Source organism: Homo sapiens, chromosome 17, assembly GCF_000001405.40.
Source record: "Homo sapiens chromosome 17, GRCh38.p14 Primary Assembly".
NCBI lineage: Eukaryota > Metazoa > Chordata > Mammalia > Primates > Hominidae > Homo > Homo sapiens.
In genome coordinates this window covers 11,231,895-11,256,088 of record NC_000017.11, presented here as the reverse complement: position 1 = coordinate 11,256,088, position 24,194 = coordinate 11,231,895, and the positions used below count along the sequence as shown (strand labels likewise).

At 48.7% G+C, this 24,194-nt stretch overlaps 1 protein-coding gene across 3 annotated transcripts in view, besides 1 other annotated feature; it reads right to left on the bottom strand.

Moving 5' to 3' along the window:
• The window catches only part of SHISA6 (shisa family member 6), a 322,851-nt gene extending 307,975 nt beyond the window's left edge, over window positions 1–14,876 (bottom strand). For all 3 annotated transcript variants that reach the window (NM_207386.4, NM_001173462.2, NM_001173461.2), the window contains exon 1: window positions 14,029–14,876. In NM_207386.4, coding sequence (NP_997269.2) covers window positions 14,029–14,666 — 638 coding nt within the window. In that variant the 5' untranslated portion in view covers window positions 14,667–14,876. The remainder of the gene's footprint in view (window positions 1–14,028) is intronic.
• Window positions 10,750–11,251: an enhancer, noted in NCBI's record as "H3K4me1 hESC enhancer chr17:11148155-11148656 (GRCh37/hg19 assembly coordinates)". NCBI's record gives its function as "activates a minimal SCP1, AML or CMV promoter by ChIP-STARR-seq in primed H9 embryonic stem cells {active_cell/tissue: H9 hESC(primed)}" and the evidence as "EXISTENCE:reporter gene assay evidence [ECO:0000049][PMID:30033119]".
• Window positions 14,877–24,194: the final 9,318 nt, after the last annotated feature.

Genomic DNA, 24,194 nt, shown 5'->3' with positions numbered 1-24,194 from the left:
GGCCACTTGGCGGTTGTTAGCAAGCTACTTAAGTGTCCCGTAGCTCTGTGACCTTGTTGAAAAAATAAGACCAAAATAATGAGGCAAAAAATAATGTCTGCCTCTTAGGGTTATCATAAGGATTAAATGATGTAATAGTTGTAAAGTGCTTACGAGGCTTACAAGGAGCCTGGCACCTATTAAGCACTTACATAAATATTTGACTAATAAATAAATCCAAATGTCTACAACCTCCTAATATCTACATCGGCTCAGCCTATAGGACCACAACAAAAGCATAGGCAGAAGAGGAGAGTCTTAGAGGACTGGTGCAGTTATGCCAAACTGGCAACACTCTTGGTGTGGTGGGGGAGCCACACAGCACAGCTGTGGCCGTGGGTCATCCTGGAAGGGACCATCCACGCCCCATATTTCCCACTCCGGCTTAAGGATGGAAATCCATATGACCACACACCCGTTTCTGCTGAACCCTGAACTTGGACTTTGACAGCCAAAGGCAAAGAGAGCCTGTTCCTTCCCGTCAGGTCACCATGGATTTGCTTCCACTAGCCTGCAAAGAAGTATCCAGATGAAGCCCCGCTGCAAATGAAGGTATTCACAGCTTGAGCAAAAGAAATCAGGAGTCAAATGGGGCACAGAAGGGCAAACAGATCAAACTGGCCAGGGCAACACGTTCTGTAAAAGATTCAGTTATTTATTCTTTCTCCCTCCCTCTCTTTTTCTTTCTTCCTTTTCTTTCCTTCTTTCCTCCCTCCTCCCTTCATTTTTCTCTTCCTTCTTTAAAACAATTAGAAACATTATTGTCATTTCCCTACTCAAGGATCTTCACACTAATGCAAATATCAGAAGGGCAGGGTACACAAAAAAGACCACTTTAATTTCTACTGACTTTAACTCATGTATTCAGCCTGTCATTCAGTTATATTTCTTAAGCACCTACTCTGTGCCAGGCACTACTCTGGGCACTAGAATACAGGTGTAAACAAAACAGGCAAACACTCCTGTCCTGTTGACATAGTGGTATGGGAGATGGATCCCTGCCACAAAGCAAAGCTGCTGTGTAGGGCTGCAGACCAAAGAACTTCCCAGAAGAAACCAGATCTTTAAGTTGCATCTGAATTACTGAGATCCACATGTTGCTCTTAGAAATCTCCTTTGGGGTTTTACCATAGAATTATAACCCCATTTCTGGGTGGACAGCCTCTGCCCCAGTGTGAAGTTGAACCCACGTCCCATGAGGACAGACTCTTAACTAGGAGTGCCTATTTATTAGGGAGAAGGGAAGACTGAATGTGGGCCTTGAATGCCATCTTCAAACAGATGTTTTGCCATCCTGCAAAAGAAAGGATACACTCCTTCTGAGTTACTCCAGGAAGTGGATCTCAGGCCAAAGAAGTAATTTTGGCTCCCCATGAGAATCAACTAGAATTGCATCCTAACAATAGACCAACTGCCTCCAGAGGTAGGGGCAGCCCTGCCCTAGACGCATGGATGGCCACTTGCTGTGCATGAGAGGAGGGGCAGGTGGTGCCAAAAGAGAGAGTCACTAAAATGCCTCATAAGTCCTCTTCTACCAAGAGATCCTATGAGTCGAAGATGCTAAAAGCAGCATCCTCACAAGGCCACTTGCAGACAACATTCTTATCTGAGTGGCGTATGCAAGGAAAATACATCTCCTCCCACATCCCAGAGCTGTTGAACCTGTAAGTATAGATGTGGACTGTGTCAGCATGTATCTTTCAGGTGTGCTGAGGGCAGAATGGGCCAAAGAAGAACACACTTCCACAACACTACAGCTCACATCCCACAGCAGAGGGGCCAAGGGACTCACCCAAGGTCATCAAGACAGAAAGTGACAGAGTTGGGATTACTCTGTCTTGTAGCTCAGCTCCCAGGAAATGCTCTAAGGCAGGGAAAGATGGATGACAACCTCCAAAGGTGAAAGAAGGCTTTGCTAGATGTCCCTTGAGAGCCACATAAGCAGACTAAGAGAAGCAAGTCAAAGTTCTTTTCTATAAGGAGCAGGGCTGCTGGCTAAGGGCCTCCTACCACTTCCTACAGTAGGTGTGATGCTGTCTCCTCAATCCAAACAGTGGTGTTGGGAATGGTGATTCACAAGCAAGAGTCCTTAGGCCACTGAGAGAGAACCACAGAGAGAGCCAAGGCAGGGCTCGAAGTCCGGACAAGTTTTCCAAAGTCTGCCTCCAGATCCATAACCTCTCAGGCCCAGCTGGTTATGACTGTGGCAAGAAGCAGAAAAGCGAGCACAAGGATGTGGCGAAGTTTATAACATGAATTCTCAAAGCCGAAAGAGAGAGAGTTGGATTCTAAAAACTCAAGGAAATAGAAAAAGAAAAGAAACAAGAAGAGGGAAAATTAGCAGGAACCCCCAGAGGGAATTGCAAAGGAGATTTGAAGCAGCTTCCAGTCAAGCATCACCAATTCAGTAGAAATAAGGGCAGGCTAATCCCTATCAACGAAACAGACATAAAAATTCCAAAACACTTTAAAGGAAATGCATTTTTACTGCTTCCCGGGCCAATGCAGGATTTCAAACTCAACTAAAAAAATAAAATAAAATTGATCTTCGAAGAGCTACTTCAATGAATAGATAAGAATGATTTGGAATTAACATGCCAACTGTCTACTAAGAGCCCGCCTGTAAACAATCTAACCTTCTCCATGGTGTATGTCCCCTGTGAAATCTCTGCAGTCTTGTTTGAGCTATTAATCTGTTCATCACAGATTTTTATCAGACAAAGAAAAAAAAAAAAAAACTTTGCCCAGGTCCAATTTGGATAAATTTTGAATTAGTGGCATCTAAATCGATGCGGCTTAATGAAGTTGTGGCAGGACAAGTTCAGGAAGGCAAGTCGGACAGAGAGGGGAGAAGGAACACAGCTCGACAGAACTGAACAGGAATCAAAACAAGGACAGATGGAGAAGACACAGCAGTGGACAGAACACCGAAAGTGACACGAAGAAACATTTTAATGATGTGACTTAAAAGCAAGGGAGAGGTGTAAGAGATCCTCGGCTCAAAAGCCCGATATATTCTTCTTCGCGAATGCTTGAGGCTGGGTAAGAAGCTGGCTGTTGATTATCTGAGCACTGAAACGCATTGATATTTCCCATTGCATAAATAGTCTCCCAAGACTATGGGACACCATTCCTGGGAAACTTCAGGCAAGTTTCTCAAGATGCAGCAAAAAGTCAGAAACAGCTAACTATGAGTCCAACAGGGAAGGTGGAATCCAGATTCTTCCCCAAGTTCTGGAGCAGCCTCAGCTTTTGAGCCAGCCACATGCCCTGTCGCTGCAGGGAGATGGATTAAGAGGAGTCTCACCTTCAGTCAAAGCCGTCCAACAGCAGTGACTAAGGTCAGAATTCCCTAGTGATTGTATCTGAGCCTGATCCTAGGACTGAGTGGGGAAAACTCCCCTGGCGACTCCCTTCTTTGCTCCTATGGTGTTTGGCCACCAACCTGCCTGACTCCTAGCAAAGATCCATATTCTCAGGACCTTAGAAAGGAGTGGATGGATGGGCTCTTGAAGGGACTCTCAGATGCCACTTCAAATTAACAGCCACCCCCTCCCTCCGCCAAGCCTTTCAGAATTCATATTCCTCCCACTGAAACAGCAAGGGCGAAGGAAGAGAGAAGTGGCTGTTTGGGTGGAAAACACGCTTCCCAGAAGAGGACATTTGGCTAAGGGAACAACGAATATGTCCAGAGGACAGATGTCCTGAGTAATGAGACTTTAATGCCGAAGCTAATGGGAACAGTACACGAGACCAAATGCCAAAAAAGCAAGGAATAATGAGAGTGTTTGCGAAGACTGCAGAAAGCAGCGACTCTTCTCCCAAACACTGGGGAATGGGGCCAAGGTTCTAGCCGCCCAGAGGTCTCACTGGGGCTCCTGCGTCCGTGGGTCTGGAGAGAGGGACAGGGGCTTTCGGCAAGGAGGGGTCCAAGTGTTCTCTTGCTCTTCTAACAAGGAGTAGGCATGAGTCAAGCAGGGACAAGAAGGATGAAAACAGGGAGCGGGAACGCTGGGTTCCTGCGGAAGACTAGTGAGATACATTTTCACACACCCTCAGGCAGAGGTGAGTTTCCTGCTCAGGTGCCCCTGGCAAGAGCTGCACACCAGGGAATGTGAGTTCAGCTGCTGCTCACCGCCCTGTGACAACCGGACCTTGAGGCGTGTGGCAGGTTGGGAGCTGGAGAGTAAAACACAGGCTATTAAGAGTGTCCCAGGATTCCTTCCTTTCCACGTGCCCCTCAGGACAGGGGACTTGAGAGAACCGGAAACAGAGAATCACAGGGAAAGCGTGAGTCATTACGAAGCACAGCCACCAGGGTACAAACAGGGAAGGAATAAAACCAGAACAGGGAACAGCAGAAGCAAGCTGGCTAAAGTGCTGTGTCTTGCATGCACGATGCTAGATGTTAGACATGGGGCAGGGTGGGAGAGTTGTGATAAATGGAGCTGTTTGTGAGCTCTACATCTCAGTAATTAAAACTAGAAATATCCCTAGGTCCATACCGCCTCCCAAATCGCCTCTTTTCTCTCCTGTGCCCCTCACCCAAGCTCCCGTCACTGCTCTCCACTGACTCATGCAGAATTGCCCAGGGGTTCTTTCAATATTGTCAAGTTTTTTTTTTTTCTCAATTAAAATCAGGGTGTTTTGTTTTGTTTAATATTTTCTTTGCATTGCCTTTGCTATCCTCAGCCAATATCATATATTCCTGAAAGAGAGCTCTTTCACTGCCCTGAGGATCTTGCTGCCTGCATGCAATCTAAATGGGGGCCGCCGTTCTGGTTCCACAGAGCCCTCATAGGTAGGTCACTTATCTTCCCAGTCTTTCACTATGATAACCAGTCCCAGGGCATGGGAAGGTAGGTCTTTGCTTTCTTAAGTAATCTGAGTATCACTGACTCCATTACATTCAGGAAGGTGAGACCCAACTGTTCTACTGGACTTGAGAGAGAGAAGGGCACCAGCAATGTACTAGCTGTGTGACCTTGGGCAAGTTACTAAGCCTCTCTGAATCGGTTTCCTCATCTACAACATGGGCCCCTACACTCAGACGGGATGATGGGAGGATGCAGCGAGATAATGCAGGTTAGGTGCAAGCTGGATGCTGGTACAGAGTAAGCCCTCGAGACCCGGCACTCTTATGAGTATCTCTCTACCATCCTCTCCACTTCCTTGAGTCTTCATCTCACCGAGATCTCCAGTTCTCTCCAACTCTGGCTTGTGGGCTTGCATGAGTGATGGGGTTGTGTAAGCTCCTGGGACACAGAGCTCCCACTGTCCTGACACGTGAGCAGAGTTAAGAGGGACTCCCCAGGCTCACAGCAAGACTGACTCCTCCAGAATGCCCAACAATGGCCTTTAGAGGGTCATCAGGACCAGAGGCTCTGCCCCGGCCTATGCATGGGGGCAGTACAAATGCCCAGCCCTTTACCAACCCCTAAATCCTGACTGAGATGAAGGAATGCCATTCTACCCAGGTAGCACAGCCATGGCTTCCCTGCCTGCAGACACTGAGTCTGGTAACCCTTGTCACCTGCCTTTACACTCAGCCTGCCCCACCCTCGCTCCATTTCGGTGATCAATTCATCCACTGAATGGACATTTGGGGGTGGAGCGAGTGGTGATAAATGCACATTAGGAATTGATCAGCAGTGCTCACTGGCAGCCTTATCTTCCTGGGCTTGCAAATATTTCTACATCATCTAAGGCAGTCTGGCCCAGCTGGTGACCCCGTCTGAATGCAGAAGTACAGAGGCGACAGCCCTGGGATAGAAAGAAGGGAAGGCACAGTGAACACTCTGGCTCTGACCCCGAGCCTCACTGCATACATCCCGTAAAACTGGGTCCTTTTACCCTCAGTATCAAACTAGGAAGCTAAATTAAGCTAACTGTCTACTATCTCATGCAGAAATATGGGACGTGCACTTTTTCACCCTTTCTGAGCAGTTCCATGTGAAATGCTTGCTGCAGACTCAACTCCTTTTTCTCCCTCTCTCTTAGGACCTCCACCACCTGCCTGACACACGGATAAAGCATAAAACTGATTTTCTTAAGGCCAATAATTGTCGTTCCTCATGAGGAGTGTCCTCTTCAAAATGATCATCGTGGATTGCCAGGCACTCCTGTGCAGAGCTGCCATTCACTCCTTTCTGAAATGCCTCTTCTGGGCTCCTGCCTTCAGAGACAGCTGACACGGCTCCTAGGAGAGCAAGTCTCATTACTGGAGGCACTCTTGATTTCTGATCACCTATCTCATTCATCAGACTCAGCCCCATGACTTACCATTGCTTACAAGAATCAAATCAACCCTAGGAAAATTAAAATATGTTACCCTTATATAAAGTCAAAATGACATGCCATGGGCTCTCAATGTACTTTCAAGAGAGGGACCGTGGAAACATTTTCTGCAGAAAAATCAGCATGCGGCCTCCCAAGGTGACTGCTTGGAAGGGTGACACATTAAGGTATGTACAACCAGGTTCTTTCAAAGGAAGTATCAAGCACATTACAGGGAAAACCCCCAAACTGCATGCCACAGAGGTTATTTTCACATAATGATTAAGCCCAGATTTCCAGCTTGATTAGCCTGCAGTATCTGGGCCCAGAGCTGAGAAAGGGCAAAACTGGCGTCTATGAATGAGCTTCCGTGGCTTGCAGAGCTATATTCTATGCAGGGGGCCAACCCAGAAGATAACCCTGAAATCACACACACATATACACACGCACACACACGTCCACACACACGCACGCGCACACACACACACACGGCCACTGGATGGCGGGAGGTCTCTGGCCTCTCACAGAGCTGAACTGCATTGATCCGGTAGGTCTCAGCATTCAGCATTTCCACTCATCTCTGGGAGAGAGAGAGAAAGCATTCACAGTCTGAATTTTTTTTTTTTTTTTTTTTTTGAGACGGAGTCTCGCTCTGTTGCCCAGGCTGGAGTGCAGTGGCGCGATCTCGGCTCACTGCAAGCTCCACCTCCCAGGTTCACGCCATTCTCCTGCCTCAGTCTCCCAAGTAGCTGGGACTACAGGCGCCGCCACCAAGCCCGGCTAATTTTTTGTATTTTTAGTAGAGACGAGGTTTCACCGTGTTAGCCGGGATGGTCTCGATCTCCTGACCTCGTGATCTGCCCGCCTCGGCCTCCCAAAGTGCTGGGATTACAGGCGTGAGCCACTGTGCCTGGCCCTGAATTTTTAATGACAGATTTCTGCCCACAGTTTCATTCGGTGACTTTTTGCCCCAGTCCACAACTCTTTGGTTGTGCTGTTATTTTCCTTCTTCAATAGTCCGCATTACTCAGACCTTATAAAAGGATTATGCTTAGATTAGGTTATTGCCCTTAAGAAAGGAACGTGAAAAAACTGCAAAAGGAGCGGGGAAGATCGACAGAAATCATTTTAGTGGAGACATTCAGTGGAAACAGTGAACCAGGAGGGGTACAGAAACGTAGGAAAGAAAGAGAAAGGAGAAGGCTGTAACTCACATCTCTAAGGATCCCAAAGTTATTTGGTGATGACTAACCAAGGAACGTGCAAAGAGTAAAGAAGCAGAATATATTTTCATTGAATGAGATGAGTCTGAGCGCTAGAACACAGGCGCCCTGGCTTAACCTCCAAGCTCACCCACCCACTAGCTGGGCTCCTTGGCACTGTGACCTAGCCTCTCTGAATTTCAGTTGCCTCACTTGTAAAACTAGGTAACGAGATTAAATGAATTGCCTGCAATGAAAACGTTATAATTCTGTAATAGATGACAAAAGAATAGAATGTACTACCCTGCTTTTTCAGAAGTTCTGGTTTCACTTCGAGAGATTAAAAAAAATAGAGTTAGCAATGTATCCTGAATTGTTTTAAAATTAAGCTTGCTCAAGGGTTGAGTTCAAGGGACTGAGACCCTCTGAGGATTCACTGGTAACCCTTGTACCCAGGCCTCTTATCTCTCTACAATATCTGCAAAGAAAGACACTAGAGGCCAGGCTCCGTGTCTCACACCTGTAATCCCAGCACTTTGGGAGGCAGAGGTGGGCAGAGCATGAGGTCAGGAGATCGAGACCATTCTGGCTAACATGGTGAAACGCTGTCTCTACTAAAAATACAAAAAATTAGCCAGGTGTGGTGGCGGGCGCCTGTAGTCCTAGCTACTTGGGAGGCTGAGGCAGGAGAATAGCTCAAACCAGGGAGGCGGAAGTTGCAGTGAGCAGACATTGTGCCACTGCACTCCAGCTTGGGCCACCAAGCAAGACTCCATCTCAAAAAAAAAAAAAAAAAGAAAGACGCCAAAGAGGTGAGGTCATAAACGTAACTCAGGAAGAAATAATGGGGTGGAGTTTCCCAAGGTAAAGAAAAGAGGGGAAAAATCACAACAGAAACTACAAAACGTACTTAGTCTAAATCCTCATATATTCCACCCAAGCACAACCCCTCCCACCACCACCAACCAATCTGAGACATCTTACATGCTTGTAAATTGAAACCATCATTTTGTGGTTCCAGAGGTGATATATCATCAAGGGCTATGAGCAAAATTGTAAGACAAAATTCACCATAATTTCAAAAATGGATGGTACAGGTGTTTGAATGGGGAGAGGGCAGCAGGGAAGGAGGGTGGTGACCTCCCATAGCCAGGAGCACGGTGGCAGTTCCAGCATGTGGTAGGAATTCTTGCAGACTATAGAAATTGAACTAGAAAGGGAAGACCTAAATACAATCTGCCAGCCCCTGGAAAATCAGGCGATGGAACTGGAAGCATGAAGCTTCTTTTGTTGTGGTTCCCTTTTATTCCGGATCCGTAGGACTGTCCGTCTGGAGCTAGTGAATTAGCCTCTTTCAATCAGATCACTTTCTCAGCTGTCTTAACCACTGTTTCCTGCACAATTGATTTGAATCCACTGCACGGTCAATCCGATCTCTCATTAAAACCAGTTGAATACAATGAATTAGGCTTTTTTCTCTAGCTGTGTCTTGGCAGCCTAGAACAGTGGGTAAACTTGGTACCTTAGCAGTCGATTCCCAGAAATGAATGTGCTCCCCACCTCGGGTAGGGTAAGAGGGGAGAAAGGGATGGGTGTGAAGGCCTTCTGAGCTTGGGGAGGGGCAGGAAGGGACATGAAGACAGTGAGCAATGTGACCAAGGAGAATTGCACAGTGTAGGGAATTTGAAAAGTATTTGCATGGTTGCCCTGCTAAAGCAAGAAGGAACCCTGCTAACCTCATATATCAAAGGCAACATGTGTCTTATAAGCTTATATGGTGTAGTATGAAACACATCTTGCCCAGGGAAGGTGAGCAGGGCTCATTTGTTAAGTGAATGTCTGCGTGTGTCTGCAAGAGTCAGGACAAACCAAGCCTGTGGCACATGAAGGCAGGGCAACGTCACTTTGTCCCTTCAGTGGGAATAATCAACCTCTCACTGGATTGCTTTCCTCCTTTCGCTATTTTTGCTTCTTTCTGCCTTCCCAGCATCCTTCCCCTAGCCCTTCCTCCATAAGACTTCTCCAGTTCTTCCACAATTTTCCTCTTTCCCTACAAGCATTTATTTTTTCTTTTTATTTTTTGAGACTGAGTCTCGCTCTGGCCCCCAGGTTGGAGTGCAGTGGTGCGATCTTGGCTCACTACAACCTCTGCTTCCCAGGTTCAAGGGATTCTCCTGCCTCAGCCTCCCGAGTAGCTGGGACTACAGGCGCATGCCACCACACCCGGCTAACTTTTTGTGTTTTTCGTAGAGACGGGATTTCACCGTGTTAGCCAGGATGGTCTCAATCTCCTGACCTAATGATCCACCCACTCTGGCCTCCCAAAGTGCTGGGATTACAGGCGTGAGCCACCGCACCCGGCGAAGCATTTTTTTTTTAACTCAAAGAAAAAAGAAATAAAGGCAAGGCTAAAACTTTCAGTCCAAGGCAAGATGCTTTTTTGTTTCTTTCCTTCTATATTTGAAGTAGAAAAATAAGTCGACTCTCTATTTAGATCAATTCATTATAGTGAGCTCACAGTGCTTCAAAAAACGCAGTGACTTGACAATTTGTTGCCCAGGAGCCTAGGAAGAGAACTCACTAAATCAGCCAGCGAAGGGGCCCTGCCACTGCAGTTATGTGGCCTGTGAGGAAATAACAGAGCTCTTTGAGTTTCTAATTAATTTCTGGAGGGAGAAAGAGTAGAACAAAGTATTCCCTTGACTTCTTCTAGAAATAAGCAAGAGAACCAACCCAAGATGAAGGGGTCACCTCCTAATACTTTTTCCTGTTGATATCCACCTGGATTTTTCTTCCCACCCACCTAGATATCCACCCCCCCCACCCTGCCCACATTCTTTGATCCCCTCTGCTCCTGTGCAGGCAGTGGAAGGACCCAGGGCAGCTCTGATTTCACCAACTGCGTCTCCAGCATCCTAATAGCTTCCTGACCCATCTGTTAATTAGCCATTAAAAAAAGCCACACAGTTCCTCCCTCAGAATGATTCTCATCTCCAAGACACTAATGAATCAACTCAGGGTGAGGAGGAAGGAACAGGTTTGGATGTGAGACAGCTAGCACAAAAATGAATGTCAAAAAGGACCCAGGCTCCCAGGCGGTTTCCTGGGTGCAGCCCATGCCCTTGGCGGCCCTCCCAGAACAAAAAGCCCCTCAGGGGAGCTGTGCGGAAGTCAGTCAGGAAATAGCAAAATCTGTGGATGGCTGCAGCTTGAGCCTTAGCCCGGGCAGTTTGGAAGAAGGGAAAAGTGAAGTGGAGATCCTGGTAGGAATTGGGCTTCCGGTTGGGAAAGGCAGGCACGGCTGCCCTGGGGCTCTCTGGCCACATCCAGCACCCAGCTCTGCCTTTCAATCCTGTGCCCATCTCTTCCTCCTCCACGGAGTCCAGCTAGCTGAGTCGGACTTGGTACTCATCTATTAGAATCACAAGAGAGCTGACGGTTTCCCCCACAGACACTGATTTCTCACTCAGAAACACGATAGCAAGGTCTAATCACTTCTGGAAATGATGAAATATCTTCCTCCCTGAAGGAGTAGAGAGATGAAAGGAAGTCCTACCCTAAGGAATGTGTGTGCATGGGCAGGCGGAGGGCTGTCCAGCCTGGGAGCACTAAGGCAGATGCAGATGGCCCATCCGTTCCCTTCACCCCTGCTCACACTCCCATAAATGTCCCTCTCCAATGAGGCTGTTCTCACTGAAACTCCCTCAGACTCAGCCCCTGTCTGCCCACCTATCATCTTCAGGGGGAAGCACACACTGAAACCGGTTTGTCTTTCTTGTTCAGAAAGGAAACATCTTTGCTGAGCTATTTCAAGGAATATGTAACTGCATGCACATCCGCTTCCTCTCTTGACCTCTCGAGAGTGTACATTCTTTCTCCTCCCCACTTTCCCTAAGGAAAACTCATTACGGTGTGAATATTTCTCTGTCTCTATCACTCCCTCCTTTTCCCTACCTTGATTGCCCAACAAGACAGTCTACACAAAAATACTCCCCAGAATGGCAAACGGTGGTCTCTGAGGTGTGAGCAAAGTGAGAAGAGTGGTGTAGTCACACTCACCCCCAGGAGTCTGAGATCAACTTGCACACTCACCCTGACGTGCCCCGGAAGCAAGAAGCTGAGTTGGGACATTGTGCTTCAGTTACCCAGAACTGAAAAATAAGTTTCCCTGACCTGCCCAAGGTCATTCATGGAGTGTCGTAGATGGATCCCCCATGCCCTGTCCCCCTACCACACACAGACAGGCATTGTCCCCTACCCAACAGGCACGGATATGATGGTTTCCAAAGCACTGATCAGGCAAGACTGCAGCTGCTGGAAGAGAGGCTGTGAACTGAATAAAATCAGGTGGTGAACTTGAGGGGGAAACATCCCATATTTGCATAAAGCTCTGAGGCCTGAAATTCATCTCCCTTCCCGTGGTTACTCTGCTTCCCCAACCCCAGAGAGAAGCTGCCCCAATGCCGTAATCACCTTCACCCTAGTTTGGCGTAAGGGGCATCAGGGTGGTGGGAAGGGGAGAAAACACCAAGAGGGACAGTGACCTCTCCAGGGTCACGTGCCAATGCCAGCATCCAAAGATGCCTGCTGCCAGCATTTGAGGACACCGCCCTCTGTATCATCCCAGGCGATGACGAATAAACTGTGTGAGGTGGAAGGGTCAGGGCAGCAGGCAGTTTTCCCTGAGTACAGAGAACAATGGCTCAGAAAGAAAGTAACTTAAAGAAAGATGTGTAGGAATCAACGAGCAAGCGGCTGTGGTCAGAGCAGAAGGTTTAATGAGAGGCCAAGGCCACAGGGGAAGGGGAAGAGGAGACAAGCCTCCAAGTCTTGAGGCAGAGGTGTAAGGATGATAAGGACCAGCACATCTGCTTCAGGACAGCACCTGCCCACGGGCAATTCCTTCTTTTCTTTCCACACTGAGCCGAGACAGAAAATTCTTTGCCAGACAAGATGCAAAAGAAACTGTCTCTTGCCTTTATTTTGCTCACCGTCCCACTTGTCTTCTGCATTTGAGAGCCAAGACTGACCACAGGCTGTTTCTCACACAAGAGGATACTTACTGCACTATCTGAGACATGAGGTGCAAGTGGAAGACAGGGTGGAGGCACCTCAGGGTGACAGAGCCTTATAAAAGGGTCTCCTTTTGGAATCACTCCAATTCCAGCACGCGAGTTTGAGGTACCCACCCTTTGTGGATTTGACTCAATAAAACCTTCCAGGGAGTATCATTTCTCTCAACACCCACAGTATCAAGCAGAAAAAAAAAATCAGCTCTTTTAACATGCCTAGAAATTTCTATCTGCCTTTCTCTCTCTTCAGCAAGGCAGGGGTGATTAATGTGCACAGCAGCGAGGAAGGCGGTTTTCAGGTGGTAAGAATAACAAGCAGGACGCAGAGAAGAGCTCAAGGTGAATGGGTCAGTGTGGGGGCCTGCAGGACTGACTGACAAGCAGTGGTCTGGGGGGTGCTCATGGTGACTAGGGCAGTGCCCACACCATGCAACAGAAATGGAGGCATCTCCCGGGGCAGGGTTTGTTCCCTGAGAGGACTCTTGCACCATGTCCAGCCATCCATCAACATGAGGGGACAGGAAGCCGAGCTAACTCTGCATCCTCTGGGTGTGTCATTCCTAGAGTTCTAAGGGGAGGCTGGGTTTCTGTCATCCCCTTGGCTTTGACTTCCCCAAGGGCTCACTGGGGGGCAAGATGGTGCGTCGGGGCAGCATTCAGCGTGCAACCAGGGACTGCCATAGTTTGAGCTCTTGGCGTAAGTTTTGGTAGGAGGCAGCTCCCACTGTCTTTCGAACGTAAGCAGTGAAAGATGCCCCACCAGGTTTAACACAGGCGAGTACTGTTAACTCAGAGTTCTGCCTACAGGGTTTCAAAGAACGAGTCCTCTAGTCTCAGCAGGAAAGATAAACATCCCACTCCGCAGGATGCAATGAGGAGACACCATCTGTGCTTGGTCAACATGGAATGGAGAAATCTTTATCCCTACTTCCGGCAGGAGGCATCCTTTCTATAAAACCCCAATTCCTAATGTACGAGAACATCTCAGTTGACCCTAAGCCACTTGGTACCGCTTTCAGTAAGGTTCCAACATTGGTCAGTTTCCTATATTGAAGATGACACTCTGATTTGACTCAAAAAACTAAATGCCATTAAGAACCTACACCAAAGTGCCCTCATGCCAGGAAAGCAGAACCCTGGATCCTCATCCACGATTACAGAATTTGTAACATTCTTACACTTGGAACTTCATGCACTCAACCAATTCTTACTCTGCCTTGTAAATCCCCCTACCACCAAAGCATGCATTCCCGGTTCTGAAGAAATGGAGGAGGGGGCACAAGAAGACCCTGATTTATTGCATGCAAAAGGAGCGATGGTGGAAATGACTAGAGGGCCTGGGGAGGTGTGATGATGCCGAGAGTGAAGAGGACAGGGGAAGCAAGCTGAGAGGGTGAGGCCGCGGGGAGACCGGGGCGCGCGGCACGCGGCGCTCTCACCTGTGGATGTTCATCTCCCGTGGAGGGCGGTGGGCCTTGTCGTAGGAGACCTTGGCGAAGACGCCGGCCACGATGACGAAGGCGATCACCCCGCAGGTGATGTAGACGGTGAAGTTGGTCTTGTCCTTCTCCGGGTCGTACTTGTTCTCGGGCCCCGGCGACACCACCTTGGTGCTGGGCGTCTGTACCCACACCGGGCTCTGGTAGTTGGTGCACTGGCGCTGGTCCAGCTTCTCGTGGCGCTTCTTGCAGCAGAAGCGGTAGTAGCAGGTACCGCAGCAGTACAGGTAGCCGCTCTCGCTGTTGTTACACTCGAACTCCTTGTCGTACTGGCCGCTCACGTCGTAGTAGCCCCAGCACGTCTCGTAGGTGACGGCCGCGCTGGCCGCCGCCGCCACAGCCGCCGCGGGCTGCCCCCGCCGGCTTCCCGCCTCCGGGATTCCGGGCGCCCGGGCGGTGCCGTTCAGCTCGCGGCCGCCCCGTGCCAGGGCGCCCCCGGCCCTCCGGCCCCCGACGGCAGCGCCGCCTGCACTCAGGGTCCGGTTGGCGGCGCGGCCGCGGGCTCCGTGGACGCTGGGCAGCAGGTCCAGGGACTCCAGCGAGAGCAGCAGCAGCAGCAGGAGGCGCCGCAGCGCCATGGCGGGGCCGGGCGGGAGGGCGCGGGGAGGCTTCCGCGGCAGGCCGCTCCCCCGGCGGGCCGGGCTCGGAGGACCCGCCGCGCGGGCCGGGCTGGAGGCGCTGAGCGGTCAGCGGCTCCGGGGCGATGGCGCCATCGAGGCGCGGGCGGCAGTGGCGGCGGCGGCGCGCGGTGCGCACGGACCGGCCCGGCGCGGGCTGCTCGGGCTCTCAGGCTGCGCGCCGGCTCCGCGCTCCCCCTGCGGGCTCGGCGCGCCTCCTGGGCAGCCCCATCCCCCGCCGGCGGTGACTGCGGCCCCGCGCGCGGCTCGGCTCAGGCAGGACCCGAAGCGCGGCTCCGGGCGGCGGCGGCGGCGGCGGCGGCGTGGTCCCGTCCGGGCGGGTCCTGCGGGACAAGACGGGGAGCCGGTCACGGGGTGGGGCGACTGGCGCTCCGGGAGCAGGAGGAGAACCGCGGGCAGGCGGGCGGGGAGGGTGCGCGCAGCCCTCGAGGAGAGAGACTCGGAGCCGGGAGGGGCGTAGAGCCCGCTCCCAAGACGGGGTCCCGCGGCCCTGCGCGCCTGGAACCGAGAGCGCACGGGCCGCCCCTCCAGGCGCAGCTCGGCCGCCCGGGTCCCCCAGCCGCCCGGCCCCGCAGCGCGCTCCCGCCGCAGGCTGGCTCCCTGGGACGGAGCCGGTTGAGGCTGGGGTCCGGCGGCGAGCCGGGAGAGCGCGCGGCGGCTGGACCTCACTCACTCACCATGCCCGGCTGCGACTGCAGAGGCGGCGGCGGCGGCGGCGGCGGCGGCGGCGGGGCGAGGCGGGAACGCAGCTGCCGGAGCGAGCGAGCGGAGAGCCGCCGGCTCGCCGCCTGCACTAGTGCCGGAACGTGTGCGAGAGTGAGCGAGGGAGACACACGCACTCACACACCCGCACACACGGGAGCGCCGCGAGGGGAGGGGGGACAGGGGAGGGGAGGGCAGCCGCTCTCCGCCACCCACGTTTGCACGCCCGGGCGCTCAGGGTGCGGGGCGGGGGGGACTCCTTTTCGCTTCTTCCGGATCGCAGCAGTTGAAGCTCCGCGTCACGAAAGCTCCGGACAGCAGTTATTCGACACGGCGAACCCGGCGGGCGAAGAGGGGGCCGGGAGCAGGGCGGAACGTCCGCTCTGCAGCCGGCCCGCGGCAGGGACTGACCTCCCCTGCCATTGCCTTCTCTAGCCTTCGCGACCAGTCCCCACCCTACCGGAGCCCGGGGCAGCGCGCTGCCTGAGCGGGAGTTGGGGTTTCTGCAAGCCTTTGCCTCTCCCTAGTGGTGATACTCGCAGCCAGGAGAAGAGGTCAAACCCATTGCTACAGGTTCCCAAACTGAGTCCAGGGGTCAAGTGGCTTGTCTGAGGCTGTTGGGCGACCCGTGAGCTGAGCCTACACTCTCTTCCCCTTGGTCACTCTTTCCCCAACCCCGTACCCACTACGCATAAAGGCGCTAGACAGCCCCAGGACTGGATGGCAACTCTTTGCTATACTTTTTTTTTTCCCCGCGGAGCCTCGAGGCCATTAGAAAGCTATCTGAACCTCTGAGACTCAGCTTTGTAACCCCTGTGTTGAAATCTCTGTGCTGCAGCTCCTATGGGAGGTGAGGAGGATGGGGGTGCAGGGCGGGGGTGCTTTCCGGGGTAGTTGCGTGTCTGGGTCTGTGGAAAGGAGGCCTGAGTCTAACTTTCACAGCTACGAGGCCATCCCAAAAGAGAATCATAGTACCATCCTTGGCGTGTGTCCTTGGAGGAGGTAGGGGGAACTGAGAACAAAAAGCGATGGCCAAGGCCAAGATTCTGCCTGCGTGACCAGCGTGCTTTGGTTGAAGGCAGGGAACTGAAGGCAGGGAACAGGCTGTCAGAGCGAGGGCGGTAGAGAATTTTCCCTGAGACTTTCTGTTCAGTCCCACTCATGTGTGACCTAAACAAGGGATCCCTATCCAGGAACAGAAGAGTTCCTCTTTTGGGAACCGTGGAATGGATATATTAGAGCTCGAACTCAGACTCCAAGACACAAGAGGGAGATCCTGATATTGACTAGGGGGTGGGGTGGGGGGCGGTGCACAGACTATCCCCGCAGCTCCCCACTTGCTACTGTCTCCATTCCCTCCCTCTTCCTCTGCACTTCCTCCCGTTCCCTTAACTTCTCAGTTGCCACCTTCTTCTTAAAGATTCTGTCCAACAAACATTTGTTTAGTGCCTACTCCCTGCCAGCAGAATGAATAAGAGAGTCCCTTTCCTCAAGGAGGGGGACCTTGTAGACCATTAGGGAGACAGATAAACAAATGATTTCCACATGGCAAGGTTACGTCTCATGATAAAGGCGGGCAGGGTGCTCTGAGAGCAGAAGACAGGCACCCAGCCTAGGCCTGCAAGGGGACAGATGGGGGTCAAATGTAGCTTTCTCAATGAGGTAGAGCAGAATCTTGAAGAATGGATTACGAGTTAATACAGCAAGCAAGAGGGGAAGGAGGCTCCCAGCAGAGGGAACATCCTTAGCAGAACCAGAAAGACAGGAAGTGGTTAAGGTGTGTGAGCAGGGATGCAAGCAGTTTAGCGTGAACCCTGAGGGAGTCTTCCAAATAAGGCTAGCAGGAGGGTATTGAATCCTCCCTTGCAAAGAACTTGAATTTATTCTACAATTGCTGGGGAACTGTTGGTGGGTTTTAATCAGGAGAAGACACTGTCAGTTTTACATGTTTGCTGGATCTCTGAGTCAAATGGAGTAGGGAACACTGGACTGGACGCAGGAAAAGCAATTTGGAAGCTGTCCTGATAATACAGGTAAAAAATGATGAAGGGATGCAGTAGATTACTGGGAGTTGATGCCCACAGTGGAAATAAGCATGGCTGAAAAAGCAGGTTCAGGACAGAGTTAGCAATAGTCGTGTTGTGGTTCCTTTGAGAGAACTAAGTGGAGCTGTCCTGCACAAGAATTGCAAGCTCAGAAGAGAAGATAAGACAGGCATATACATTTGGGAATCATAAGAACATATTTGAAGACAACAGCCTTATATATTTACCTTTACACTCTGTGCAATTTCTAAGCTATTCCCTTCTTTGTCTCTTCCATGAGCCTTCACCATCCCTTCATTATTCCAGAATTTGCTTTTCCATGTCTGAGAGCCCCTTAATGATGGATAGGAGAAATGTGTCCTCCTCACATCAGACTCTAATGATTTGTTCAGCGGCATTAAGTAGGGGAAACTGATTTGGTTTCTCAGACCACCACCACCTATAAATGTATCCTGAACCCCTGTGCTCATAAGTGGTGGCATCAACACTCATGGAAATAATAGCATCTCAGGGTTGTGTAAGATCTTAGGGGTTATATATCCCAACTCTTGCTGCAGTACACTGTATTTCTTATTGACATTTCCAGCCCTCCTGGTTTGCCCTTTGTAGTAGAAAAGGTTGCTTGGTTACCACCATACATTTCTCTTTTCTCCTTCTAGTTTGAGCGCCTGAATTGTTGACAGTATTAAAGTGCTCTTTCTTTGTGGATTTGACTCAATAAAAAGTACCAGAGAAGAATCATCTCTTCCAACACCTCCACCAACTTCAGACAGTCCTGAGGTTCAGGGGAGAGTGACCCAGTCCCTGGTTGTAGAAGGCAAATGAAGGCAAATGCTGATTGGGTTGAGCTAGACATAATAAATCTTTTTCCCCTTCACAGGGATTAAGAAGGGACATATGATCCAGTTCTAGCCAATACTAAGTGAGAGAAGTTTGCAGGGGGTTTCTGGGGAAATTTTCTTGCTCTTAAAAATAGTGATAATTCCTTCTTCTTCTTCTTCTTCTTCTTCTTCTTCTTCTTCTTCTTCTTCTTCTTCTTCCTCTTCTTCTTCTTTTCTCTTCTTCTTTTCTTCTTCTTTCTTCTTCTTTCTTCTTCTTTCTTCTCCTCCTTCTCCTTCTCCTCCTTCTCCTTCTCTTCTTCTCCTTCTTCTCCTTCTCCTTCTCCTTCCTTCTTTCTTCTTTCTTCTTCTTTTTTTGGTGTTATTTCTCTGGATGTTGTTACCTTGGGGTTGGGGCACCAGCTAAGAGTTGAAGTTGATCTTCTTTTCTTTTTTTTCTTGAGACAAGGTCTTACTCTGTTGCTCAGGCTGGAATGCAGTGGCGTGATCTCAGCTCACTGCAACCTCCGTCTCCCAGGTTCAGGCGATTCTCTTGCCTCAGCCTCCCTAGTAGCTGGGATTACAGACACCAGCCACCGAGCCTGGCTAAGTTTTGCATTTTTAGTAGAGACTGGGTTTCACCATATTGGCTAGGCTGGTCTTGAACTCCTGATCTCAGGTGATCCACCCGCCTTGGCCTCCCAAAGTGTTGGGATTACAGGCTTGAGCCACCGCATCCGGCCTCAATTTTATAGTTGTTAGCACTGCTTACCAAATATCTCTGCCTCCCAGGCATGTAGTAGAATTGCAATTCCTAGCCCACTTGTGAGTAGGAGGGGAAAGTGACTAGTATCAGTCAATGAGTTGTGAGCAGAAATGATGTGTGTTATTTTTGAAACAGAGCATCTAATTGCTGCTGCAAGACACTCTAGAATTTTCATTTTCTTCTGGCATGGTGATCAGCGATGTTCTATATGGGAGTGGTTTTTGTCAGTGTGAGTACTTAGGTGACTATAGTGAGGAATGCCTGATAGCTAATAAAAATAGTGTCCCACGATGGGCATGTAGCATGAGTAAATATAGATCAATAGATAGATAGATAGTACATAGAGATATAAATATAAAAAAAATAAATATTTCTATCTATAAATATCTATCTATATCTCTATCTATTAATATCTATCCATCTCTCTATGTATCTGCTTTTTAAAGCCACTGGAATTGAGGCCTATTATTGCAGCGTATCCTAGCCCACCCTGACTGATACACTGAGGGTGCCAGCTGAAAAGATGGACAGAACATCATTGGGCCACTCAAAGAGGTATGCTCAGGGCCTTCCCATCTCTGGTCTTCCAGTAACGTGAGATAATTAAGTTTCCTTTTATTGAAGCCTGTCTGAATCCAAAGTTTCTCTTTCATGTAGCCAATGGCATCCTAATAAATACATCATGCATTGTCTGTCTCGGTTCTGAATTTCTCTAGGGCTTCTACCTAGCTATGCAATTTTGAACTAATCCTATAACTTCCATGGGGTTCAGTTCACTCCTCTATAAATGAGCAGCTAAGTGAAGGGAGTACCTCTAAGAAGTTACCTCTATTGCCACTTCACAGTGTGTCTTTACCATGAACCTCAAGTATGAACTTGGGCCATGGCCTGGCATGACCTGCTCGCCTGCTGTCCTTCTAAGCTCATCTCCTGCCACTCTCCGCATACTCCCTCCCCTCAGCTATGCTGGTGTCCTTGTGTTCCTCAAGGCCTTGGTATTTGCTGTGCTCTCTGTCTGGAGATCTTATCCCCAAATGTATGTAGAGTTATTTCTCTCACTTCTGTAGATTTCTACTTAAGAATCACTGATGAAAATAGCACAACCATCATACCACTACCCACCATTTCCTCTTCCATCGTGTTCTACCTTCACCTTATCATGATGAATTTTCCAGCATGGCATTTATCTCTAACTCATACACATTCATTCAGGCATTTAAAAATTCTATTCTGTTCTTCTACTAGAATGCTCAGTCTTGCTTGAATTTTGTGTCTGTTGTGTTGATTGCTGTATTCTGAATGCCTGGAACAGTGCTTTGGTGGACGTGGAAGGACTTGTCTCCAACTGTCAGCTCCTTTAGGGTCTGTCTCAGCTGCAGAAAGTTGCCTCCCCTGGAACCATAGTCTTCCTTCCCCAGGGGGCCCACATCCAGTGACTAATCAAATTCAAGGTATCAAGGTCCAGCCATTTCAGTCTAACACAATAATAAGATGGGCACTATTTCCTCTGAAGTTCTAGAGCACCCTAGGGTCAAGGCTTTGCTGGACCTGTATCGCATCTGTCCAATCTTGCTTCCTTCCCCATTTCCATTGGTGATGACCCTTAAAGAATAGTTTGCATGCTACATTTCGTCTCAGTATCTGCTGGGAGAGATCTGAGCCTGCACCATAGGCATTCAGTATATATATGTTGAATGAATAAGTGAATGAATGAATGAGTCCATGAGCCCCAGGTTCCCACCATGGCATCCCTATACATGATTATATGGCTTTTGGTTTATCATATCTAGTCACAGTTAGAAACTATCTCCTAAGGCCACTGAATCCAATATTAAATAATTCTAATAGATAGAAAATTAGAGTACATTAGCTTTTGTTAATGTTGCTGATAGGCAAATCAATTTAGTGGCTCATACTGAGCTTATAGTTGACTAGAGTATTTTTCATATTAGGATGACTTTTTGCATTCATGTGAAACACTTCATACATATTTTAGTTTATTTTACAAATTCAAGCCCATTAGTCCAGCCTTTTAAGCATTTTGGGAATGTGTCATCCAAGATGCTATTTCTATCAATATGGTAGACATGTATTCTACCCTGCTTCCCAACAGTCTTTCCCCTTCCTTCCAGCCACAGTCCCTGATCGTTGGTCAGAGATTTACCATCCATTCTCATTCCATGGGGTCTTCATGGGGTTTCATATGACCCAGATTTGAGCCAAACAACCATCTTAATTGTTTAACCTGGACATTCAGAGCAAACCAGTGGCAGAAACCCATCCAGTCAGATGAGCCCCAGGACTTGTGTGGACAGGACTGAGAAAGATGATAACTCTCTCCCCTGGGAAGAGGCAAGAATGGCACTGTGCCAGCTGTCTTACCCTATGAATGGTGGGCCCAGTGTTATTGGGAACCCCACAAAAAGCCCAAGAAAGGATCCAGGATGACACTAGGCTAAGGCAAGAGGAGAGAAACCCAGTCCTGTTAGCATCAGGGGAACCTTGAATCTAGCTTCATCTGAAGTCTGCCTATATCTCTACTTCTCTGTGATGTGAGCCAATACATCCATACTTTAATTAAGCTCCTATTCACCAGAGTTTCCATCTGTAGCCAAAAGTGTCCTAACTGAAACAATCAACCTCACGGTTAATAAAGTGCAAGAGTTTAAGCTAGAAGAAGTAGTTCCCCCCAACCCCCCGCATGACCCCACATGTCCCTTGCTCCTGTTCATAGCAGGTGAGGGCTGGAGCTGAGGATGGAAGGAGCAGCACAGGTCAACACGTGAGAGATGTGACAAGTGGCCATTCCTAGCTGATGTCATCAAGGTGCCTCTAAACATAGGATTTAGGCCAAGCACCTCTAGATCTCCAAAAGCAGTTGGGAGAAGATGCAGATATAGGTGAGTCCATTCTTGGCATGAAAACCCACATCAGGATGTGACAAAGTCGGAGAAATGACCAGCTGTTAAGATTATTCCAAAGGTACAATCAAGCATACCAGACACAGGGTCCAAAGAGCACATCAGTCTTAACCATAGTTTTGAAAATTATCAGAAACATAGTATCATTTCCAATGGGAAGAATACTATAGACAGAAAAGATTTGGAAATCTAGGCAATTATCAATAGAACCAGCACAGTGCATGGTTGTACTCTGGGCAGTTGTACTCTGCCACCAAGCACGGTCAGAGCAAGCCCCCAGTTGTGGTGGAGACATGGAGTGTTGGCAGTGTGATGACAGAGAGCTGAGATCTGGGACCTAGACAGAAGCCTTGTCCAAAAGATTAAGTCAATGTTGCAGAGGGGAGTGGAGAGCTTCAACTTGGACATTGGTTCCCTTGTGTGATTGACAGCAAAGGAGACTTGAAGAGTAACATGGGGCCAGAAGCCATAGTCAATTATATACCAAAGATTGAGAGCAGGACACCTCAAGCCACTGCCAGACTTTCTATCTCAGACAGATCCTGTAGATGTACTCAGTTGTATGGCATGGGGAAAACAGCTTTAGGAAGGGTGGGAGCACAGGTGAGGTCAGGGGAACAAACAGCATCCTTGTGGTGGATTAATCATGGTCTCCTCCCAACAAGAGGTGAAGGCTGTTTGTCTTCTCTTTGAGTCTAGGCTGGGCCTTGTGACTTGCTTGACTAATAGAATGTAGCAGAAGTGATGCTGTGCCAGATCCAGGTCTACCCCTTCTAGGAGTGGGCCTCTGCCCCTAGAGGCCTGGTGACTTCTGCTTTTGCATTCCTGGGTTCTAGCTACCCTATAAGGAGCTTGGGTTACCTAGAAAGACGAAGGTTGGCAGGCCTCATGAGAAGAGATCTTGGAAAAGGAGACATCATCTTGAGCATCTTGTTCCCAACCAAACTCCTGAGTAAAAGCAGCATGAGATTTAGGCCAGTGTGAGCAGAAGAACCATTCAGCTAAGCCCCAGCCAAATCACAGAATCATGAGAAGTAATAGATCATTGTCATTTTAGATGTTTTAAGCAATCAATGTGTTATAATGATTTGTTACAATACAATAGATAGCTGAAACAAACCACATATCATAGCATAGACTCTAGACAGAAATGTACCATATTGTATTGATGGCAACTTCTGACCACAAAGATGTCTGAGGCTATTTTTGGTTAACTATATTAACCAAGAACTGTAATATAGTTTTGGTTAACTATATTAGCTTCATAGCATTATCCAAACAAAGTACCACAAACTGAAAGCCTTAAACAACCGAACTTATTGTCTTACAGTTCTGGATACTGGTAGTCCAAAATTAGGGTGCTGGCACAGTTGGTTCCTTCTGAAGGCTGTGAGGGAGAATCTGTTCCAGGCGTCTCTTCTTGGCTTCTAGATGGCTGGCTTCATGTCCAAATGGCATTCTCCCTGTGTGTCTGTCTCCAAATTCCCTTCTTTTTATAAGAACATAGTCTTATTGGATTAGGGCCACCCTAATGGCTGCATTTTACCTCGATTACCTCGATGAATACCCTATCTTTAAATAAAATCACATTCTGGGGTGCTAGGGGTTAGGACTTCAACATATTAATTTTTTGTAGAGGGACACAATTCAACCCATAATGTCTGCTAAGTGGAGTGGTTGTGTGATCTCTATAAAATATTATGCAAACTTACATGCCAATCAAGAGGAAAGGAGGAGGGGTCACATTTGTCACTGTCTCTCACTGAGAAGAAGTTAGAGAATTCCAACTTAGGTTATCCCGGAGATGATCATTCTATTCCATGCCCTTTTCAAGACTCAACACACTTTGCTCTTGTGAGCTGAGAGAGATTCCAAATAGGAAGCCTAGGAAAGGGAATGTCTCTCCCTGGCATTCTCTACCTAGTGATGGAGTTACAGGAAGTTTGCATCATGCATAATTAGAACTCTGGAATTGTGGCATTTCAGAATTGGATGGGTGCAGAAAAATTCACATCCTCTGGACTCTTTTTCTGTAACTAGTCAGCCATACACGTGAAGGCAAGGATGACCTCAAATTATCTCTAGAACTAGCCTGGCCTAGAATTAACTCATCTCTTCATCAATGTATTCATTCCTTTTTATTTATTTTGTCAATCAGTTAGTCAGGCCCCCACTATGTGCTAGTCATTATGTAGATGCTAAAATGCAAACATAAA